The sequence below is a fragment of the Homo sapiens genome, chromosome 7 (genome assembly GCF_000001405.40).
Source record: "Homo sapiens chromosome 7, GRCh38.p14 Primary Assembly".
NCBI classification, from domain to species: Eukaryota; Metazoa; Chordata; class Mammalia; order Primates; family Hominidae; genus Homo; species Homo sapiens.
The window spans coordinates 111,365,211-111,388,081 of NC_000007.14; the positions used below are offsets into that span (position 1 = coordinate 111,365,211).

The 22,871-nt window shown below is 35.1% G+C and overlaps 1 protein-coding gene and 1 long non-coding RNA gene across 27 annotated transcripts in view; both read right to left on the reverse strand.

Annotated features, from left to right (window-relative positions):
* Positions 1–22,871, reverse strand: part of IMMP2L (inner mitochondrial membrane peptidase subunit 2) — an 899,849-nt gene that overhangs the window by 702,567 nt on the left and 174,411 nt on the right. The gene's annotated exons all lie outside the window — the stretch shown is intronic.
* LOC124900232 (uncharacterized) overlaps positions 1–22,871 on the reverse strand; it is a 58,562-nt gene that overhangs the window by 30,875 nt on the left and 4,816 nt on the right. Inside the window, exon 2 of the long non-coding RNA XR_007060475.1 lies at positions 1–21,853. This exon is cut by the window's left edge and continues 30,875 nt beyond it. This is a non-coding gene — a long non-coding RNA (uncharacterized LOC124900232). The remainder of the gene's footprint in view (positions 21,854–22,871) is intronic.

Consider the following 22,871-nt stretch of genomic DNA (forward strand, 5'->3'; position numbering starts at 1 on the left):
TTTCCTGTACTTCACGAAAGATGTAGGAGAAATAAGTGATTATTTGAAACTGTTCAGGTTTTGAAACACAATCTGCTATCATGAATATTTCATTTCTTGAAAATATTTTCATGCTTATCCTTTTCAATAATGCCACATCATAATGCTTTATTTCATCTGCCTGTGACAGACATCATTACTAATCCTATATAGCTGCTTGTTTCACGCCACGCTAGAGCAGCTATTGAATTTCCTACAACATGGCAGCCAGTCCTGACATTCATATGAAGAATACTATGATAAATATATAAAGGACTATAAATAAGGCAACAAGAATTAAAACATCATAGGTTCTGAAGGTGGCATCTTGACTTAATTGAAAGAAACTCAATACATAACCAAAGCTGAAGGATGAAAAGGAGAAACAATTACCAACTAGTTTATAAACCACAATTTAATCAACTTACAGGGCAAATAAACCTAGCACTCAGATCTTGTTGAAACCGATTTTTATGAAACTTGGTTTTATGAAACTTGGTTTTTAATGCCATTCCTCACCAAAAAGAATCATGGCTTCTGGAGAAATGGCTAGCTTCAGGGCTAGATAGAGAAGGTACACAATTATCCTGGAGCACCTTGCTATGCCAAAAAGTAAGGAAATGCTCAAAAATGATTTTTTAAAACCTATCACAAAGACTTAGAATTATAAACCACCAGTAAAAAAATTTTCTAATAAAAAGTAGAAGGAAATGAGGAAGAAGGGATGACTGGTAGAGCAGGATGCTGAAGACTGACTAGTAAATGAAGAGGAAATACTGGCACTGGTACATCATCATTTTGCAACCATGACAATAAAGCCTGGTCCAGGCAAGAATTATTAGTAGATGCTAAATCAAGAAGAGAAATTTACATGCACGGTCTCTGAGTATCTCCCCATGGATTGCTCATTAATAGCAAGGGGATAAGTAGTAACTAAAAAATAGAGAAACTAGACAGTACCTTGACCAGATAAATACTGAGAGCTTCCAGATGCGATGCCTGGAAAAGGAAAATCATTTATATAATATCCTGGCTAGGAATGCAAAATCTGAACTTAACTCATGAGAAAACATCAAACAGACCTCAAATGAGAAGCATTCTATTAAAAAAAGAAAGAAAAAAAAAAAAAGAAAGAGCAAGGGCGCTGTATTCTTCAAATATATCAGTGTTATAAAAGACAAAAAAGCAAGCTGAAGAATTGTTATAGATTAAAGATTAAAAGAGATTAAAGAGACCTGAAAACCAAGTACAATACACGGCTCCATGCTGGATCCTGTACTGGAGAGAAACAAAAAGCAAATGTTTATAAACTACATTACTAGGTACACTGACAAAATTCAAATATGAATGGTAAGTTAGGTAATGGCAATATATTAATGTTAAATTTACTGACACTGGATATTATACTGTGATTATATAAATAAAATGCCTTAATCTTAGGAAATTGCATTGCGATATTTAGAGGTAAAGGAAGGCAATAATATCTGAAACTTTCGGAAGATTCTAAAAAAAGAAGAATATATACATATATTCATTCTCTCTATACATATGCATTCTCTCTATATATTATTTCATAAATACATTCATTGTCTCTGTATATATGTATACACACACGTATATATGTGGAGAGGAGAGACAGGGAGAGAGATCACATGATAAAACCAATGGGACAAAATACTAGCATGTTAACACTTGCTAAGTCCTAGCTTTAGAAGAATATAGGTATTCTTTGTACCATCTTTGCAACTTTGATGTAAGTTTAAAATCATTTCCAAATACAAAGCTTGAGGGGAAAAAAAGCAGGCAAAAGATAAACACAAAATTCAGGTACTGTGAGAGAGAGGAATAGGAGAGAGGAGGAACGCACAGAAGAATATGCTGACAGTGTTCTCGGTGACACTTGTGGCTGTTCCTCTTATTGTTATGCTTTATAACTACCTACATGCTACATATATTCCTGTGTGGGTAAAATATTACGTTAGGAAATATTACATCAGAAAGAAGAATAAAGAAAAAAATAATGTTCTGTAAATTGTTTTAATAATTTCTTCAAAACTACAATAAGAATACGAAGAGCCCTCACAATGCAAGCACAAAAGGACATACGCTAATAGGTATTTCCGGAGTAACAATCATTAATTTGTTTTTATTCCTACTGGGTTAAAAGCATAATACTATATTTAGGTCCAGTTAGTTAGTTACCTTCATTCTTCCTCAATTTGGTAGTACTTGTTTCTCTCAGCAAAAAGGCTTTTTTTTTTTAACACAACATGTAGTACAGTTAACAAGAGTTAATACACAGAATTATAGCTAACATTTATTGCTTACTAAATGCCAGGCACTATGCTAATAAGTACTTGATATTCATTATATCTTTCAATTTTCACAGTTACTTGAGCAATATATATCCTATTATTTTCCCTCTTTTCGCATGGGGAAAAAACAGAAATAGAAAGGTTAAGTAACCTGTCCAAAGCCACACAGCTAGTGTGAGTCCAAATTTGAACCCAGAGACTCTCATTCTAGACCTCATACTTGTAAACAACATGCTCCACTGCACTTGAACCTGAGATTCTGATCTCAAATAGTTCTTACATTGAAAACAGAGGTAAAATGCCCATATAGTACTTTAAAACCAGTGGATAAGCAATAGATGATAGCTATTATTTCCATTCACTGAGCAACAAACGCTGTACATAAAATAAAGACTATCTTAGATTTGAATTCTCCTCTTCGTTTTTCCTTTTGACCACTCATTAAAAAAAGGAAAAGGTATTATTAAGTAATTAAGATGCCACCAGAGACAAAAGGATAGAAAAACTTTTAAAATATTCTCAATCTATACACACTAGATAATCCACATTTTATAAATATTGAATATGCTTATATGGAAAATGCTGGTTATATTGGATATAGGAAAAAAGAGTTTTCCAGCACAATAGAATTATCAGGTGTATTAAGTGGATATGTCATTTTACGGCAGCCCAGCATCCAGCCCTTTTCCTGACATCACCCCTACTTCTTTTGGGGGAATTTTCTCTACTATGCAGTCCTGGTGGAAGCATAAATCCAAATACATGTTCTCCATTATGGAAACCAAAGATGTCTTTTAAAGGCTACTTCCAGAAAACTCTCTGCTCAGTCCAATGGTATAGGGAAGTGAACATATAACCCAAGTTCAGTCAGTCAGACACATTCTCTCAAGACTTAGTGTATTAAGCAGAATCAATGCACATACCAAAGACGTGGTTAGAGTTTATTTACGCCAGCAACACAGCCTAACATTTTTGTTGCTGTTGTTCCTGAAAGTTCTTGCTACCAAGACCTTCCAGATCTGCCTAATTCTTATCTGTTTCAAGCATAACTCTTTAGTCTCCCTTCAATCCTGTGAGCTTTTCCCATCCCAGATACCAGATATGTCTAACAAACTCCTTTTTTGCTTTTAAGTCAATCTGTTTCCTTTACTGGCAACAAGAGTAACAACAACGACAAATCTGTAAAATAAAATATAAAAGCATAAGGGGATAAAATTATATAATCTTATTTAGCAGTTCTTTGGGTGACTTTTATTCTTTTCCAATGGTTTAGTATACTGGAAAAAGTACTGGCCAAAGTATTTAAAGAGCTAAAATCTAGTCCAGGCTTTCCATCAGCTGGCTTCAACATCTGAAGTGTGAATTCATTCTGGTCCTCATTTTTTTTAAATATGTAAAGGAAAATGGTTTGAACTTCAAGTTTTGTTATATTCATAAAATATTATGTTTTATAGAAAGGACCAAAGATTTCAATGACAATACCAATAATACAGACCTTCTTTTAAGAAATTAGCACATGAATGACTGTTACAGTATTTCCTATTCTTTTTTAATAATAGTTTTCATAGAAATAAAATGTTACAGTAGTTTTTCAATGACAAACAGGAATCAAATACTTTCAGACCATTTCCCTAAAGGGATGACATTACATATCTTAGAAGATTTAGTGGTAAGAAAAAAATTGGTTTGAAATATTACTCTCAGTAAATAGCATTACGTTTGTAAGATCTACAGGCAAAACAATGCATCTTCTATAGGTTTTTACATTTTGTAATACCACAACATTCTCCTGAAATGTAATTCCCTTCATGTTTTCAAATGTTTTGCTACAGTTGTATAAAATTCATTGGTATAATTACTAAGGAATATATTCATAATAGTACTAGGATTTCAATTTTCATGAAAGGGCTAAAATTACTCGTGTCAAAGTCAGGCAAAATTTTGCAAACTGGCATTAATCATGGATTGGTGAGAGTCTAAAAAGCCAGTAGGAAATCATAGAATAAGGTCAGAAGGAGTTTTAATGTTGAAACCAATATATCAATAGAAAAGTATTGCTATCAATTCTTTAAAAATTAAAAAACAAAGCCATTTTCAAAAGCCAATCAAGATTAACATCATTAAATCACATCTCCAAGAATAATAATTATTTAATTTTAACACTTATCAAGCATTAACTGTATGCTTGATTTAAAAAGCAATGAGACTTTGTTCTTCTCATAAAAGTTTTATCTCCCTAGACCTAGGCTTAGATATACTATTTGTTACCACCTCTCACAGCAATTCAAAACACAGAACAACTATCATGGCAGTCATTATGCTAAATTCTAGATGGTAAAGAGGAAGATGAATTAGTCCTTGGTCTTAAGCACTCACCGCCATGAAATCAACTCAATATAATGTGATCCATGCTAGAAAACAATGGTATTTAGTATAATCTGTTAAGGAAGCAATTAATTCTGTTTAGGGACAGAGGAAAACCTATAAAGAAAAGGTGACATATTAAAATTTTATAAAAAATATCAAAAACTCTTATCCAGACAAAGGACTTCATTGTCGGTCAGATCTGAGTTTAAACCCCAACTCTAACCTGTGTTGTCATGTGAAACTGAGCAAGTTGTTTGGAAACCTAGAATCTAGGCCTAGTTCTGCTGCTCTTAAACCATGCCCTCAGGCAACATTTAACATCTCTCAGCCCCAATTTCAATGGAGAGAGTCAGTGAGTCATTCTCTATGATCCTTAATTTCCCCTCCAGTAATAACATGAATCTACACCTTATAGTAAATTAGAGAAATTCCTATTGATATTGAATGTGTTCATTTAGCAAATACCTCTAGAATATCCAACTAAGTACTACTGGGCTTAGCAAGTGGAATACATCATTGAACAAAATAAGCAAAAATCTCTGTTTTCAGGGAGATTACACAGAAAACGTCTATGGAAAAACTTTTAAAATACTTTATTGCACCCTTGTTCAAACGTAACTTCCCTGTGCAGTTGACATAGACGTTAAAAATAGTTAACACTTGAAAATTTCCAAATAACCATAAATATTAACACAGAGAAAGAAATCTAGATAGTGATGAAGCATAATTAGTAGCACTACCATCAAAATCCCGTTTCTCTAAATTCACACTGAGTCAGTGAGCTTTAGTGGCTTGACAAAAAGGCAGCATGTTAACGAGATTCCCCTAAACCAGTTTAGTATATAGCCATATTTTTTTTCTCATTTAAATTATTCCATAGTTTCTTAAGAACTATGATACAACCAGGTAAGTTTTATTTAAAGATAAATAAAATCTGCACATGGTGAGAAAATATTAACACAAAAACCTATTATCTCACTTCTTTTTCAGACATTCCACTTCCATACCTGGTGTTTTTCAGCCTCATTTTAGGCTATTTTATTATATAAGATTTTTATTTGAGTTATATATCATCACTGTTTGAAAACTGATTTATTATTCAATAGTCAAGTGCAAGACATCCATTCTTAGGCATCTCCAAAGCAGAAACACAGTCAGAGTATGCCAGGTGATGGAGGGGCTACAGAAAGGATACATGATGAGGTAAGGAAGAACAGAATATAGCTGCCCTCAAAATACATAGCAACTTGAGGAGAGTCGTGGCAAGTCTTACAATCTTCCATGCTTGGACTCTTCTTCACTAATCTACTAATTTCTCTGTACGACTTTTCCCATTCTCTCGTGGTGATGTCTTCTTCATGGCTGCTACAGTATCCTAGATTCTGCAGCCTGCCTTCTCTCAAAATGTCTGCATACTTTTGCATCTTTCTATTAATTGCATCCCTTTCTTAGAAAAGAAGATCTTACTGGGGTTGTGGTGACTTTCCAGTATGGACTATAAAGTCCTCTTGTTCAGCCCCCTTAATGGCTGTGTGCTTTTGACTGCCTTTGGATAATGGGGTCACAAGATTTTTAAAAAACAAAATCTTGTTAGCATATGCCTAAGGCATCCATCAAAAGAGGACTATAGCATAGGAGTACCAGAAAGTTTCTAAGAAAGACATGCAAGTACTTTCTGTGGACTGTTCACCATGTAACGATACAGTATCACCATAGAGACTGTATGTACAGAGACTGAACTTAAAAGTCACTCCCACAATGTTAAGGCATTGCATTAAAGGCACAAAAGTAAAGTAAACACTGGCAAATATATATAGCATATACTAAAAATTTAAAATTCTAAAAGGTGTGAAGAGGTGGGTGTAGTCATATGTTTATGTAATTTAAATAGGCTCAGCTTAGGCAACTATTCTTTGAAGCAAAACAAAACAAACATACAAATAAAATATTGTGAAAACACTGTTTTTAAAGCTGAGCTGGTCAGCATCAAACACGCACTTCAAAGTAGTGAGTCTTAAGTTTCATAACTGGTATTCTTCAAACTGTGAAACTCAGAATATATTGACAAATGGCCACAATTTTGGGTAAGAGAACAATCACCTTGACAAACATTTTCCAAAGTTTCAGTATTCCAATTTTGTCAAGGAGAAACAGCCAGGATTACACAACTGCCAGTCTGAGGTTCTGTGCCAACATCATGCATAAAAATTGCAAGCAATGACCAAACAAAATATAAAATACAAAGGACAAATGCTTGAGGAAATGGATACCCCATTTTATATGATGTGATTATTATACATTGCATACCCGTATCAAAACATCTCATGTATCCCATAAATATATACACTTACTATATATCCACAAAAATTAAAATAAAAAATTTGAAAAAAATACAAAACACAACAAAGAAAACTTTGGAATAATACTTCCTTTAAGCTGAATACTTCTATAAAATACTGGAGCCACATGAAAGAAAAGAATACGTATCTCTTGTTCTCCTTCCTTCTGTCAGTGGGCACATGATAAATATTCCTTCACCCTCCACCTGCCACCCACCAGATCCCACTGGCTACTATCACACAACCACAAAATGAGCCACCTTACAAGGAAGCAGATACCAAGGAAGGCAGAGAAGAGAGATGGAGCTGACTGCCTGTAAACATTCAAATGATCACTTGACTTTGTCACTTCTTCTGATGAGTTCTGTTCTTTTTTTTTTAACATAAGCAAATTCTGTTTCATAAAATAAAGGAAATGATGAGCATGGTACAGGATGGCAGATAAGAAAGGGTATTTAATCTATCTCTTTCCCTCCTAGTCTACCCAAAAGGCCATGAACATAATGTATGAGCAAGGATGATAAGAAACACTAGTTTTGCACTAGCAAAACAAAACAGGGACAGAATAATATGAGCAGTCATAATTCCTCATCAGTTTCATTTTTCTATTTCAAGTGCTGTAGATCATTGATCATGTTCTTGCAAATACCCATAAAGTCTACACATTGAAGATGAACAATTAGGGTAAAAGTGAACATAAAACATTGATGTAATCTGTTCTGTTACCCACTGGAGGAAGGAACCTATAAAATTATCCAAAGTTTTAATTACGGAGGATTAAGAGACTTGCCCCTACAATATCTTCCAATGTTTTCATTATTGAGGATTAAGAAACTTTCCCCAAAACACTTTAAAGTAGCATTAAGTGGTGAAAAAAAAAAAACTGTAGAGAGAAAGAGATCACATGCCTCCCACAGGGTAGTTGTTAAATGAGTATTTCTTAAATTTAACTGAAAATATATAAAAGGAAAGAAAAAAATAAGTTTTCTATGAAAAGGAAAAAGAATTCGAGATGATCAAAAAGGTTAACATACTGGAAGACAGTGTGGCATCTGAGGAATAAAGGTTGGTATCATCTACTGGGCAGAATTGTTTTGAAAACTGGATGAGATGTTTGCAAATATACTCAGCAAATGTCACACAGTAAATACATTGAAATTGAGAAAAAACACTGAATAAAAGAGAGAAACCTGCTTTTCACTGCTACTAAGTAAGGTGAAGTGGAAAAGAGGCCATGCAGTTAGGATCCTCTTTCTTGGTCCTTTCATGATCCAGGAGCTGCTGCTTGTAAAGCTGCTCTGGGGCAGACATTTCAATTTGTCTGTTTTCTTGACAACTTCAGTTATAAGCTTTGCTAATGTTTATAAGTTCCCATTGGAGAAAAATTGGTTAGTGAGGATTATGAACTGAAGGAAAATGCCTTCAAGGATGGGTTGGTAAGATTAGGATAAATTCTAATATTATACAAAAATAGTAAGATTATACTCTACATATTTTATACCAAATTTATTTCTCCTGTGCTGAGTACAGTAACTCATAAATCCCACTCACTCTGTCCCCAAGCATGAATGAAGAACACGAGAAAATACATCAGGGATTTAAATGAATGCATTTTTAAGTTAAGGAACTCATATTTGACAAGAATGGCTTATGTTTTAGGAAATACTATTTTGAATCAAATCGAAGTTGAGGTGGGTTTTTTTCCCCTACTTTTTTAATCGTGGAGGAAAAAAAAAGCCAAACATCAATTTCTAATGGTAGGTTTGCTCTGACCCTTCCCATTTTACTCTGCAGCAAAGACCTCATTCAGTTCCTGAAAAAAGCCAAGCCTTCATCATGGTCACTTCAGATTATATAATGGGAGCTGCTCTGAACTATCCAAGCACAAAGCAGGTCTCCAAAAATTGCTCACATGCTAAAGCTTGATATTGTCAGGTGTCTATAAATGCATACTGAATAATGTAAATTGGTAACCTGCTGACAATGCATTTGCATAAATCAAGTCAATATTCATGTAATAAAATCACCACTGAGCCTTTTATCTTTCCTAGTACTGATCATTCTGTAGCTAGTAAAGTCCTAGACTAGGCTGGTAACTTAAAGTTAATGAATGGAAAGACTGGCATCCTAGAAGAACAACTAAGAAAAACCTAATAGAACTTAGTGATGAGAAGCTAGTTCTCAAGAGGAAAAAAACCAAAATTAGGAAAAAGAAAATGACAAGACTCAACAATTCCACAAAGTGAGCTTTTCAAAGTCCATTCTTTCTCCCACATTATTATTGTCCTTATGTCTAACAAGTACTCTGATGAACAACATATCATAAGGCTCCTTGCATTTTTCACAGTATAAAGGGGAAAAAGCCATATAGCTCTTACAAAGTTAAACCCAAAAGACAGTCAGACCCTGAGAGTCAAACAAGTAAAATGGCTTTGGCCTTAAATCAAAAGCTAATAGGGCCTGACCACATAAGTCTGACCCTTTAATAGTATTCTCTCCTAGCTTGGCAACCCAAGTGAGAAAACAAAGTGTTGAGGTTATCTAAGCCTGTGTGAAGACACTGGATGCTGCATTCAATGTTAGCTACAGCTATCACATTGCTGAGGGAAAGTTACATTAAATCAGGGAAAAAACTATTGTCACTAAGTCTAGACTTTTGTTTTCAGAGACAAGAAAATGTGAAATTTAAGCATCAAATATGATATCACGATGTATCAAGAAGACTTGAATATTTTTGGTAAATATTTACAGTTCCTACCACAGTTTTAGCTCCTTCATAGCGGGGGGTCTTATACTTTAGTGTTGTCTCCCACTATTTAGGAGGTGCTCAGAAAGAGAGTCTTCACTGATTATTAACTCAGCAGAACTCTCAGGATGTAAACTATAGACTAAAAGTACTCACACACTGATGCCGTATTTGCCAAACATTAAAAGGAACAGGCTTGTTGAGTGTTGCTACAAAGAGTAGAGGCAGGTCAAAAGACAAAAACTACCAGGAAACAGATGAAAAGCCATCTAAAGTAATAATAATAGTAGTCTTATGAGACAGTAAAATATCTGCCACCAAAAAAAAAAGTGGTTTTTAATCCAATCCACTTGCTTAAATTATGATGTCAAGGTCTGGTACTCAACTGGCTCGTTCATAATATCTGAGTGAAGCCTGGAAATGTGCATTTTCAACAAACACAGTTCTCATGTAGGTAGAAAACAACATGTAATCCTGGCTAAGCAACTGTACCTTAGCAAACCTGTGAACAGATTTCCTGAGTTTGGTAAAAGCGACTTTTTTTTTTCAAGATGGAGTCTTGCTCTTTCACCCAGGATGGAGTGCAGTGGTGCCAACTCAGCTCACTGCAACCTCCACTTCCCGGGTCAAGCAATTCTCCTGCCTCAGCCTCCCGAGTAGCTAGGATTACAGGTGTGCGCCACCATGCCTGACTAGTTTTATATTTCTAGTAGAGATGGGGATTCACCATGTTGGCCAGGCTCATCTTGAACTCTTCACCTCAAGTGATTCATCTGCCTTGGCCTCCCAAAGTGCTAGGCTTACAGGCATGAGCCACCAGGCCCGGCCAAAAGTGACATTTTTGAACTGAGGGTCATGTGAAATTTAAGTCTTTGTCTCTATGAGATTATGTAGTTGGGTAAAATAAAGTAACAACCAGAGCAAAAACAATAACAATAGTAATACAAGAAACCTAAAAACATATATTACTTGAGACATGTTATAGTACCATTTTTAAAGAACTCAGGCTCTGGATTTAAAATGACCTGGATTCAAATCCTACACAATTTACTAGCTCTGTGACCTTGAACAAATAACTTACCTTCTCTCAGTCCCAATTTCTTACAACAGTTAGCTAACAGAGAAATTATGTAGAGTAACACTGTGTTACATAACGCACACTCAAAATTATAAACAATGAAGAGTAATGGTACAAATATCTAAACAAATCTGACAAGTTTTTTGGTAAAAAAAATAAATTCCAAAAGTAAAAAAGCCCCATAATCTCATTAACTTAAAATACATATGTGGCCAATAAACACATAAAAAGATGTTCCACATCATTAGTTATCAGGGAAATGCAAATCAAAACCACGAGATACTACCTCACATCTACTAGGATGGCTACAATCAAAGAAATAGATAATAACAGTGTTGATGAAGATACGGAGGAAGTGAACCCCATACACTGCTGGTGAGAATGTGAAATGGAGCAGCAGCTTCCGAAAACAGTTTGGCATTTCCTCAAATGCTTAAACACAGAGTTACCATATAATCCATCAATTCTACTCCTAGCTATATATATATGAGAATTGAAAACAGTTATTCAAAAATTTGCAAACAAATGTTCATAAAAGCATTATTCATAATAGCTAAAAGGTGGAAACAATCTAAATGTTCATCAACTGATGACTGGACACATAAAATGGGGTCTATCCATACAGTGAATATTATTAAGACATAAAAGGGAATAAAAAGTAGTGATACATACAACATGATGAACCTTGAAGACATCATGCTAAGTGAAAGAAGTCGGTCACAAAGAACCACATATCATGTAATTCCATTTATATGAAATGTTCAGAATAGGAAAATCTATAGAGACATAAAGCATATTAGTGGTTGCTAGGGACAGAGTGAATGGAGGTGGCATGGTGGTGACAGCTAAGGGATGTGGGGTTTTCTTTGAGGGTAATACAAATGTTCTAAAATTATTCTGATGAATGTACAACTCTGTGAATATACTAGAAGTCATTGAATTGTATACTTCAAATGGGTGAATCATATGGTATATGAATTAAATTTCAGTAAAGGTGTTTTTAAAATAAATATATGTAATATATATTTGCACAATAAAAAATATAGTATATATAGTTATTTTCTTCTAATATTGGATTTTCCCCCTAGAAGTAGCTCCTTATCACCAAGTTGTATAGGTTTTTCTTAGTCATTCTTCTATAATGTTACTCTTTCCTTTCCATTTCATATGTAAATATATATATGTGTGTATGTGTATGTGTGTATGCGTTCATATATATAAAGAAGGAAAACATCCCTCTATAGTACAGCTCTATAGTATAGTATCCTTCTATAGTACAGCTCTATAGTATAGTATCCCTCTATACTACAGCTCTGTAGTATAGCATCCCTCTATAGTACAGCTCTATAGTATAGTATCCCTCTATAATACAGCTCTATGATACTCTTCATGCCCAGCACCTGTTCCTGTGGTAAACTGCTTTTCCCTCCATTCTATGTCATTCTAGTACGGCTGTCAGTCACATGAAATCCCCAAATCCCACTCCTGCCACAGAAACTGCACAGGAATTTCTGCCAATGAACTGTCTCAGCTGTTTATAGTTCCATGCTTCCAGGGGCCTATTTATTCGGCTTGGCTTTTGATTCTGTGATATAACCACATTTTATCTAATAAATCCTCTTCTTATTTTGCTTAGATAATCTCTGAGTTTAGGCTGCTTGCAATTACAAAACTCCATTTGATATATACTCTAAACTGTTTTAATCTCTTCACCCGAAGTAATGCTATGAACAATTTGCTGTTAATCCTACCACAGTATTTTCTATGCATATACAACTACACATCCACATATATATCTTATCATAATACTATACATAGTATTAATGTACCATAATTGATTTTAGCATCCTTCCATTAATAATTCTAACTTAACTTAGTTTTACTTATTCATTTTTCTTTTAAAATCAAGGGGAATACGGAGAATCCATTAAAAAAAATCATGTTAAAATCCAAGAAATATTTATGGAATAGACTTGGTAGCTGAAGATCGTGTTTTTTAACACAACTTTAGATAATATAAAAAAAACTGAAATATAATCTCTAATCAATTTTTGTTTACAATGTAGTTTGGCAGGTAATATAGAAAAATTATAAAACAATTATATGTCAGGATGTAAGCAAAATTGCATGATAATCATCTTATACCAGTTGAAGCCATGAAAATTCAATTCAATTTTATTAAATGTCAACTGTATAATGTTTTCTGATATGTGGATTGTATTGGCACTCAAAGGACCACCCAAAAAGTTTATAGCTTAGCATACTTATAATCCAGTTAGTCAACATTTTATAATTGTCACAAATATAAAAATTGATAAAACTTCCAGCAAATTTAAATATATTTAAGACAAAAATGTTCATGACTTTTATAATAATACTTCACATTTATTAGTACTTACTAAATCTTATTATCTAAATTATTTTTCAAAGCAATTCTATGAAGCAGGTATTGTTATAATCACCCAAGGGCACCGCTGTAGTTGTAACTGGCAAATCAGAGAACTGAAGTCAAGTCTTTCTATCTCTAAAATCCCTTTCTTAATCAATATCTGTTATATCAAAATTATTTTAATGACTAAACAGTTGAACTGAAGAGTGTTTATAATATCCAATTGCATTCTCACATCAGTATTAACAAAAAAGCTGTTAGCAACAAATCCATTGTCTGAATCAGCTCAAAGACTTATTAAACTTGAGATCTTCTTGTTACATGATAAGTTGCAGTATCAATTTCTTCAGCTCTATCATGAAGGTGAATTCAGATTAATTCAAGCCACCTAGCTGACTTGCAGTCTTTACAAACATAAAAACAGGTTAGTATACTCTCTTAAGGGTGTAGTTATTCTGCATGAGAAACAGGTATACAATTCCATAAGAATACAAGATAATTTGAAACATATAATAACCATGTTGTTACACAGTAGACCTTCCCATATTTATGCATATTTAATTATAATATTTATTAAAAGGCTAATGAGACCATTTTGAAACACATTTACTGAAAGGCTAATCCAGTAGTAGAATACAATCTGTTTATCAACTGAAGAACACAATACGTGACATTTGTACACTGTAAGAGAAGACCAGAATTGCCAATAAAATATCATTGAAAACTTCAAGTAACCCTTATGGTAAAAAAAAAAAAAAAAAAAGTCCTATTAAAGATAAGAAACATCATGTACAGTATCACTTCCTCTCTCCTACAACATAATTCAAACTTAAACTGATATGTAAATGAAAATTTATATTCCAGTCAAGGAACGTACCCAATGAGAGTACATAAATTATATATGTATTATGCAAGATAATAGTTGTTACAGACATTTCATCAAAAGCCATTTTAAAAACTGCAAAATATGTCAAGATGTTTACATGGTGAAATGAAATTTCATAATATGGCACCTTAAAACAATCTCACATTAGATTGCTGCACCTCAGAAAAGCACTATTGATATTTCACTGAGCCAAAGAATAATCATAATTCCCTTATCAAGTGAATATAGTGGAAAGGAACCAGGCTGAAAGTCAAATAGAAACACCATTTTCTCAAATAATAATATATTATTAATAATGATACATATCTGAAGGCTTAAGTTTCAAGATCCGAAAATTCCAGAAGTATAAAATGCCACATATTATCAAACTCTAAATAACAAAATTGTCTAACATGTAACTGCCTACTATTTGCTCATCAAGTAAATAAGAACTCATTTTAAGATTAAGAAAACTAGCAAGTCAGTTCGAGTCTGCAATTTTTAGACGAAATAACATTCATGAACAACTTTATTTTCTAACATTAATAACAGATTTCATACATCCACGTAAGTTTAGGTAAAAATAAAATCCATGTATACATTGCAAGTGGCAACTGTTCTCCATAGCCAATTCAGTATTATGAACTATCTAAATAAAAATCAAAAGTAAGTTACTAGAAAATAGTAAAATAGCTCCATCGAAAACTCTTCTGTGCATATTCTGCAACATTAATTAACTTAAAATGATTAAATCACTGCTAATTTATTTGTCAGGAAAAAATAATATTTTATTATAATATCTAAAAAATTTGAAGGCACTTCACAGTATTACGTCTTTTTGTTAACACCATCCAATGGTATATTTATTAGTTGTCATATGAAGGCCCCGCCATGAGAGTTTTTAAACATTTATTAAGAAATACCCTCTATATTCAAAGTTAGATATTTAATATCTTTAAGGAATCTGAAATAGATTATATATTCATTGACTCCTACAACATGCTTCAGCCAGATAATGATCGTTTGTCAAAATATGAGCAAGCTAATCGTGTGATCCTCCACACACAGACTGATAACAACACTCAGAATGCAATAGAAGCAAAACTATTCACCTAAATGGACATGAAAGGACTAGTGCTAGGGTTCAGATTTTTTTTCTTTAAAATTTTAGTCCCTTGAAATTTAACTTCTTGAATTAACATGCAGCTATTGAAAAAGCAGCAGATATGTAACAATATTTTTACTAACAGCTATTCCCTAGGGTTCCTTAATTATAAGCAGCAGAGGTATGCAAGATGGAAATACCCAATTAGGTTTTCCTGGACCAATTTAGCTTGTCCAGCTATTGAATATTTTCACAATAAATAGTCACAGTTGAGTTTGAGAGAGAAAAATTAGCCCTTTAGTTAGCACTAAAACTAGTCTAAAATTGGCCATCTGGCTTGTCTCTGATATACTCTGATATCATATTGTATCATCAGACATTGTAAAAAGAAATACCAGGCATAAACTGCTAACCTTAGAATACAATTTAACCTCAGTATTCTCCACAAAAAAGTAACAGAATCTGTTTCTCTAAGGTACCTGAGTTGATTCTAAGTGAAAAATATCAGGTTATTCTCACTACTATCTATTTTCCATGTTTCCAGAATGAGAGTGCAAATCTGAGCACCGTATTTAAAAATAAATAGATCTGAGAATAAAGAAAACCATGTTTTCACCCAGATGCCTGCATTTCCATCAACAAGTGCTGAAACACCACGCGAACTGTTGTAGCTGATTAACCCAGCATATTTCTAGGAAGTACATTAGTTTGGTATTAGTAGGGTGCAAAGTACAAAGGTCAGAGAGGGAAGTAGAGAAGGGCCAGACCACATCACACCTTACAGCAGATACTACTAAGCTGAGATTTTTTTGACCTGTAAGACATGGGAGTCACTGAAAAAGTGAAAACAGAGGAGCAATGTAAGCAGAGACTGGATGAGATTTTCACTCTGCTAGCAGCGTAGAGCTACTTTAGTGAATATGGTATTCCCTAGCCACGTGTCTACTGAGCATTTGAAATGTGACCATGACCACAAGTTGAAAGAATATTCTGGATAAACTAGATCAAATAAACTATATTATTATAATCAATACCACCTGTTTATTTTTATTTTTAAATGTAGCCACTAGAATAGGTAAAACTGTATATATGCCTTGTATAATACATCTCAATTGGACAGTACTTGTATAGATGAAAAACTGTGAGGAGGAAAATACACTAACAATGATGAGAACAAGGTAGACTATTGCAATCGCCAAGGTGAGAGAGGACAGTCTCAGCCAGAATATTAAGAATGGAGAAGAACAAAAGAGAAAAGCTCAAAAGAAGAAAGAAAAGATGCAGGACTTGGTGACTGACTGAGTATAAGGAGTCAGAGAGAAGGCATTTGTTCATTCATTCATTCATTCAAACACATCATTATTGCATGCCTAGGATATGCAGGTACCATGATGGTTATACTATAATGAGCTAAATGGAAGTCGGAAATGCTTACCAACTCTCTGGTTTGAGAAACTGAGGAAAGGCTGTTATCACCCATTGAAATAGCAAACAGGAAAGAGGAACACTTTTATTATCATCAAATGTATCAAGTATGAAGTGTGTGTAGGTTATTTAAGTGGAAATGTCTGGGAAGCAATTGGATGTCATGATCTGAAGTGTAACAGAAATGCCTACGCTGAAGCTAGAGAATATGGAAATAGCAGCAGACCCATAAAAGGGTTTGCTCCAGGAGAGGTTGTAGAGTGATAAGGTCAAGGGTCCAAGACAGAACAGTGACACAAAAATTCTGAAAAGGAGAGAGAGGACAGACAGCAAGTTCACTAACAAATAGCCATGTATGAACAAGAAAAATTCATAAAGAGTAGAATCACAAAAACCAAAACAGAAGAACTTTTTAAGGAAGTAACATTCAATAGAATCAAATACAAAAGAAAAGTACATAATTTCAGAGAAGCATTGAAAAGTATACACAATGCCAGAAAAAAAATCAAAAAGTATTTGGCAAGTCAGAGATCACTGATGACCTTCATGAAGGCGATCCCAATGGTAAGAACAAGCAGGACTGCCAAAGACTCCAAAAGGCGAAAGAGCAAAGGAGAGGCAAGAAAGACCAAGTATAAACAACTGTTTCTAAAATCTTAACTATAATAAAAAAATAATAAAGTAGTGAGCACAGAATCAAGGGATGGTTTGGGGTATTGTCATTTTTTATTTTGGACATGAGAGAGACCTGAGCATGTTCAAAAGCTCAGAAAAGCAATCAGTACAGAAAAGCTGATTAAAGGGGCAAGAAATGGAATAACTAATGGAGCAAGAGCCTGAGGAACTGGGAGAGAAGACCTAGAACACAGATGGACAGGCAAACCTGAACAGAAGAAAGAACACCTCTTCGTCCAGAAATGAAAGTGAAGGTGGCTCAAGAGGCAAAGATAAATTCAGAAGCAGGTAAGAACTCTAGGTTCTGTATTAAAATATTACTCAGGTTATACAGTAATTACCGGGCACCTTTAGCTAACAGTAGCTGCAAATGTGGTTCCATACTTCCAAGGATTTAATATTTATAGCAAATATTCGAAAGCCAAGGACACAGATTCATCCAGGTAGGGGAGAGTCATCTTTAATCTACTCTGTGGCCAGTCATCTATACTCTACTACACAAAAAATAAACCTGTGAGAAATGATTGCCATTAGTCATGGAGGAAGAAAATGTAGACTAGAGTGATTGGGGACAGGGAACCCACATATCTCTCTACGGTTTCTATCTATGCACATGGAAGTAGAGAGACTGAAGAGAATAAAGAGGGTTTCTCTCCTGTCTATATAACCCTAATTAGTTCCTTCCCAAGGCAAGAGTCATAGTTATCATACTTTGCCACAGTTTAAACCTTTTAGATGAAGTTATTGTGCTTTAAAGAAATGAGCCCAGATTCCCCGGACTTCTACTCTGCCTGTTTCTGGGAGTGGTAGGCATGCCTAGGCAGGATCTGGTCCTCCAGGCTGAGTGGTCATAATTATTTTGTGTGATTAAAAAGAATCTCTTGGCCTGCCCATCCTCATCTCTACTCTGCTTCAGTGTCTCCACCTACAATTGAATGAGTGAAGAGTATTGGGCTTCACTGGACCAGAAAACCGAGCTACGCCTACAAAACCAAGACTCATGGTTCAACACTCCTCATTGAAAAAGTCAGACATTGAGGGCTATCCAGCCTTTGTCCACCTTTTAAACAGTACTTTATTTCCCTGTTGGCTTCTATACATTTTTATAAATAATGCATCAGTCCAGAATCCCAGAAGGCAGGAGGGGTAGGTGGAGGATTCAATAATCAAAATCTCACCTTGAACCTCCAAAAACCCTAGTGACAAACTAAAATGTGCACTAAGTTTTTCTGCCTCTTTCTTTTTCATTTTTCTTTTTCTCACTCTGCCCCTCCTGAAATCCCCCTCCTTCCACTTTTATATGTTCAAGCCCATGAATATTCAGTTTATATGTCACCTTATCAAGGAAGTTTTCTCTGACCTGTCCAGTTACATTTCAGTATCACTGCCTCATCTATGCTCTTGTGTCTTATTTATATCTCAATTAAGCACTTGGTTATAATTAGTTATTTAATTGTATCTCCCAGCCAGGTGAGGTGGCTCACATCTTCAACCCCAGCTACACAGGACACTGAGGTGGGGGAAACATTTGAGATCAGGAGTTTGAGGTTGTAATGAGCCATAACTATACCAGTGCACTCCAGCCCGCGTGGCAGAGTGAGAGCCCCCATCTCTAAATGATGAAGAAGAAGGAGGAGAAAGGAGGAGAAGGAGAAGGAGAAAGGAGAAAGGAGAGAAGAGAGAGGAGAGAGGAGAAAGGAGAGAGGAGAAAGGAGAGAGGAGAAAGGAGAAAGGAGAGAGGAGAAAGGAGAAAGGAGAGAGGAGAAAGGAGGAGGAGGGAAAAGGAGAAGGAGGAGGGAGGAGGAGGATGAGGAAGAGAAGAGGGGGAGGAGGGGGAATTGTATCTCCACTAGGAAATCAGGTAGAGATTGCTGAATTCAGCTTTGTATCTCAGGCCTTGAGTACATTGTCAAGGTTGGTCCCCACTCCAAGTCACAATTCATTCCTACTTCTCCCAAACTCCTAAAGCACTTTGTAGGGCAGAAACTGGGCCTTGCTGCACTCTATCAGCACTGCCCCTCTATTATTGAAAGAAGACAGAAAGAAGGAGATCCTGAAGGCCTTTGTATAATAGGTAAAAATCTTTTGACTCTTCAGCCAATCACTGCTCCATTTGGCCTCTAGCTAAGGAATCTCTTAAGCAGCAAGCAAAAAATATGATTCATAAACAAGTGAAAATGAGTCACGTAGCAGTAAACAGAACTGGGGCCAGAAAGGCAGCTTTGGAGTTGTCCCCATTCATTTCAAAAAGAGCATTTTACATACTTTTTACATATTTACATTTTATGTATTTTTTTAACTGGATAAAGTTAGGAAATACATAAATTGTACTAAATTTAGAATTTCTAACTTGATTAATAATGACAAAACACCTTATAAAGTATATTACAGCACACAAAGTACTTCCTAACACTTCCATTTTATAGTTGAGGAAATGAATTTTTAGAAAAATTAGGTGGGTTCTGTAAGGCCTTATTCATCAACCAATAATGAACAAATGCCTATTTTGTGCAATGCACTGGGATTTCAGCAGCCCTGCCCTCATGCACCTCTTTCTTATAGGGAAGACGTGTAATAAATAAAATGTATATGTCAAATGGTACTACTGGGAAAATAAGGCAAGGTGGAGGTGGGGGGGCAAGGGTACAGTTTTGAATAAGATAGCCAAAGAAGGCCTCACTGACAAGTGGCATTTGAGCAAAAAGGGGGTAAGAAAGTCAAGTGGTTGGTACCCTAACCTGAACTATTAACCAAATCTTGGATTTGCATTGCTTACACTCCTTTCAATACAGCAATTTGCCCTTTATAAGAGAAAAAGATGCTGACATTCAGGAAAGCAGCAGGGGAAGCAGTATCCTGTTCTCTACATTTTGGGCACATTAGAAAAGTGGTTCAGAAAATCCTGTACAAGACCCATAGCGCTACCCTAGGCCGAAGTGAGTCCACAACCACACATTCGGATACTCCAAAAAGATGCCAAGTGGTCCTTTTCATTGACAGGACTAGCAGTATCACTCCAAATGGTAAAATGTTAAAGTTGTAACTAGAGAATGTTTGATCTTTTTATTGCTGTTTTTAAAGGCAGATGTCCTGAGTGGTTCATTGTGGTTTCTACCATATAAACGTCATTTTACTCTACTGGTTACTTGGCTGTCATAAGACAGAAAATGAGCTGCCATAAGAAAAGCTGATGGAAAAGGAAAAAAATTACAAATATCTGATCCCATACCCAGGTCACTGTCTTCATCTAAGGCATAATTTATCTTTTCCAATGAAATATGTGTACATCTCAATTAATTATCCACTTACCCTCTACTAATCAGAAATAAGATTTGGTTCAGTAAGGCGGGGTGAAGGAATAAACTCAACCTACCAATTGCTCCACATGAATTTTTTTTTTTAATAGAGGCAGGGTCTTACTCTGTCACCCAGGCTGGACTGTGCAGCCTCCAACTCCTGGGCTTAAGCCTCCCGAGTAGCTAGGACTACAACCACATGCCACCACTCCCAGCTAATTTTTTTTTTTTAAGAAACAGGGTCTCGCTCTGTTGTCCAGGCTGGTCTTGAACTCCTGGCCTCAGACAAACCTCCCACCACAGCCTCCCAAAGCAGTGGGATAATAGGCATAAACCACCACTCCCAGCCTGCTCCACATGATTGATAAATAACCTGATATAATAATCTAGACAAGTCAATCTTTGCTGAATAAATAACTTCCCCATGAGTAATCCTTCCTATGCCCAGTTTTCCCCAATCCTTAATATCATTGCTCTTTTTAGACTCATACATTCATTCACTTAACAAACATAAACTGAATGTTTAAGATAAGGCAAATACTTTGTATGACTGGTTTTCTATTTGAAAATAGAGTGTGTGACTATACAAATACATATATACATAAAGGTACATCAATTTATATACATTGGCCCTATGTAACCCCCATTTGAGAATATTTCTAAGCATGCCAGCTACTCAAATTCAAGTGTGAAGGTATGTGTATTTGGGTGTGTGTGAATGAATGTATGTGAGAGACAAAGGCAGACAGAGAGAGGGAATGGATAAGAAGCAAGTAAAGTTACAGCAGACAAGGACATGAAAACTCATAAAAGACTCATGATAAACTGTAAATACATTTAAAGAAAAAGAATAACACAAGCCTTCACTCCCCTTCCCTGTGCGATCATAATCACTGCCCATCAACTTCTCTGTCCATATCATGTGTGCTCCCTGTGTTCCTTGAAGGTTATGTATAACCAAGATCTACCTTTAATGTGTTTGGCAAAAATATCTGTGCCATAAACTATTAGCTGACAAGCAATTATATTCTACCTTGTAAAAGAAAATTAGGCATAAAATAACCCCACAAAAAGAAGAGAATGACTGTTTCACAAAAGAGGCAAAAGAGATTTAAACAAGATAATACCATAAGTTTCTATCTCACCATCCATTAATTTTAAATTTGATTTTGCTTCTTATATCACATAGCACTTATTCAAAAATAGCAGAAGAATACTTCTATCTATCTGTTGTCCTGTAAAAAGAAAAGAAAATACTATTATTTGTATTTCTTGTTCAAACACTCTAAGGATAAAAGTACTGTTTTCAAAAATGATGAGGTTCCTGCAGATAACATTTACCCACAGGATTTGAGGCTTTTTTGTGACATAAAGTGCAGAGTACTTTGAGGATGGTTACAGATGCAATGGCACAGAAAAGGCTTTTAACTTTGGCTCATTTCCTCTGACCACCATGTCTCCATTCTAAATTACAACCTCTCAAGCTACAGATCCTTTAAAACTAGCTTTTAAACCAGCTTTCTGTGGTATCATCACAAAATAAGAACACTTTGTTACTTGAAAATAAAAGCACAAAATTATTGGACTCAATAACTGTTCTCATTATTGCAAACCAATAAACAAGGTTCAACAAGAACTCGTTTTAGCTATTGCTTATCAAGCTGCCAAAAAATAAATCCAAAAGAAACCAAAGAAAAACCTGCCTTAACAATATAGATGGTTTCTTATTCATAAACTATCTTTAACATCAAAAATGGCTAGCATGTATGCCAGTGTTATTGCCTTGCATAACAGAATCTTAAGCTAAGCACTAAAGTTCTGTCATTCACATCTAGAATAATAATTTTTTTTACAAAAACTAAAATACGGCCAGGCGCAGTGGCTCACACCTATAATTCCAACACTTTGGGAGGCCAAGGTGGGCAGACAACGAGGTCAGGAGATCAAGATCACCCTGGCCAACATGATGAAACCTCATCTCTACTAAAATACAAAAAATTAGCCAGGCATGGTGGCGCGTGCCTGCAGTTCCAACTACTCAGGAGGTTGAGGCAGGGGAATCACCTGAAACCAGGAGGCAGAGGTTGCAGTGAGCCAACATCACACCACTGCACTCCAGCCTGGAGACAGAGCAAGACTCTGTCTTTAAAAAAAAAAAAAAAAAAAAAAAACTAAAATACTAAATAACCCCATTTTTAATAGAAATTTGTTTTATGATATAACCCATACCAAATGCTACCTGCTCAGCCAAAT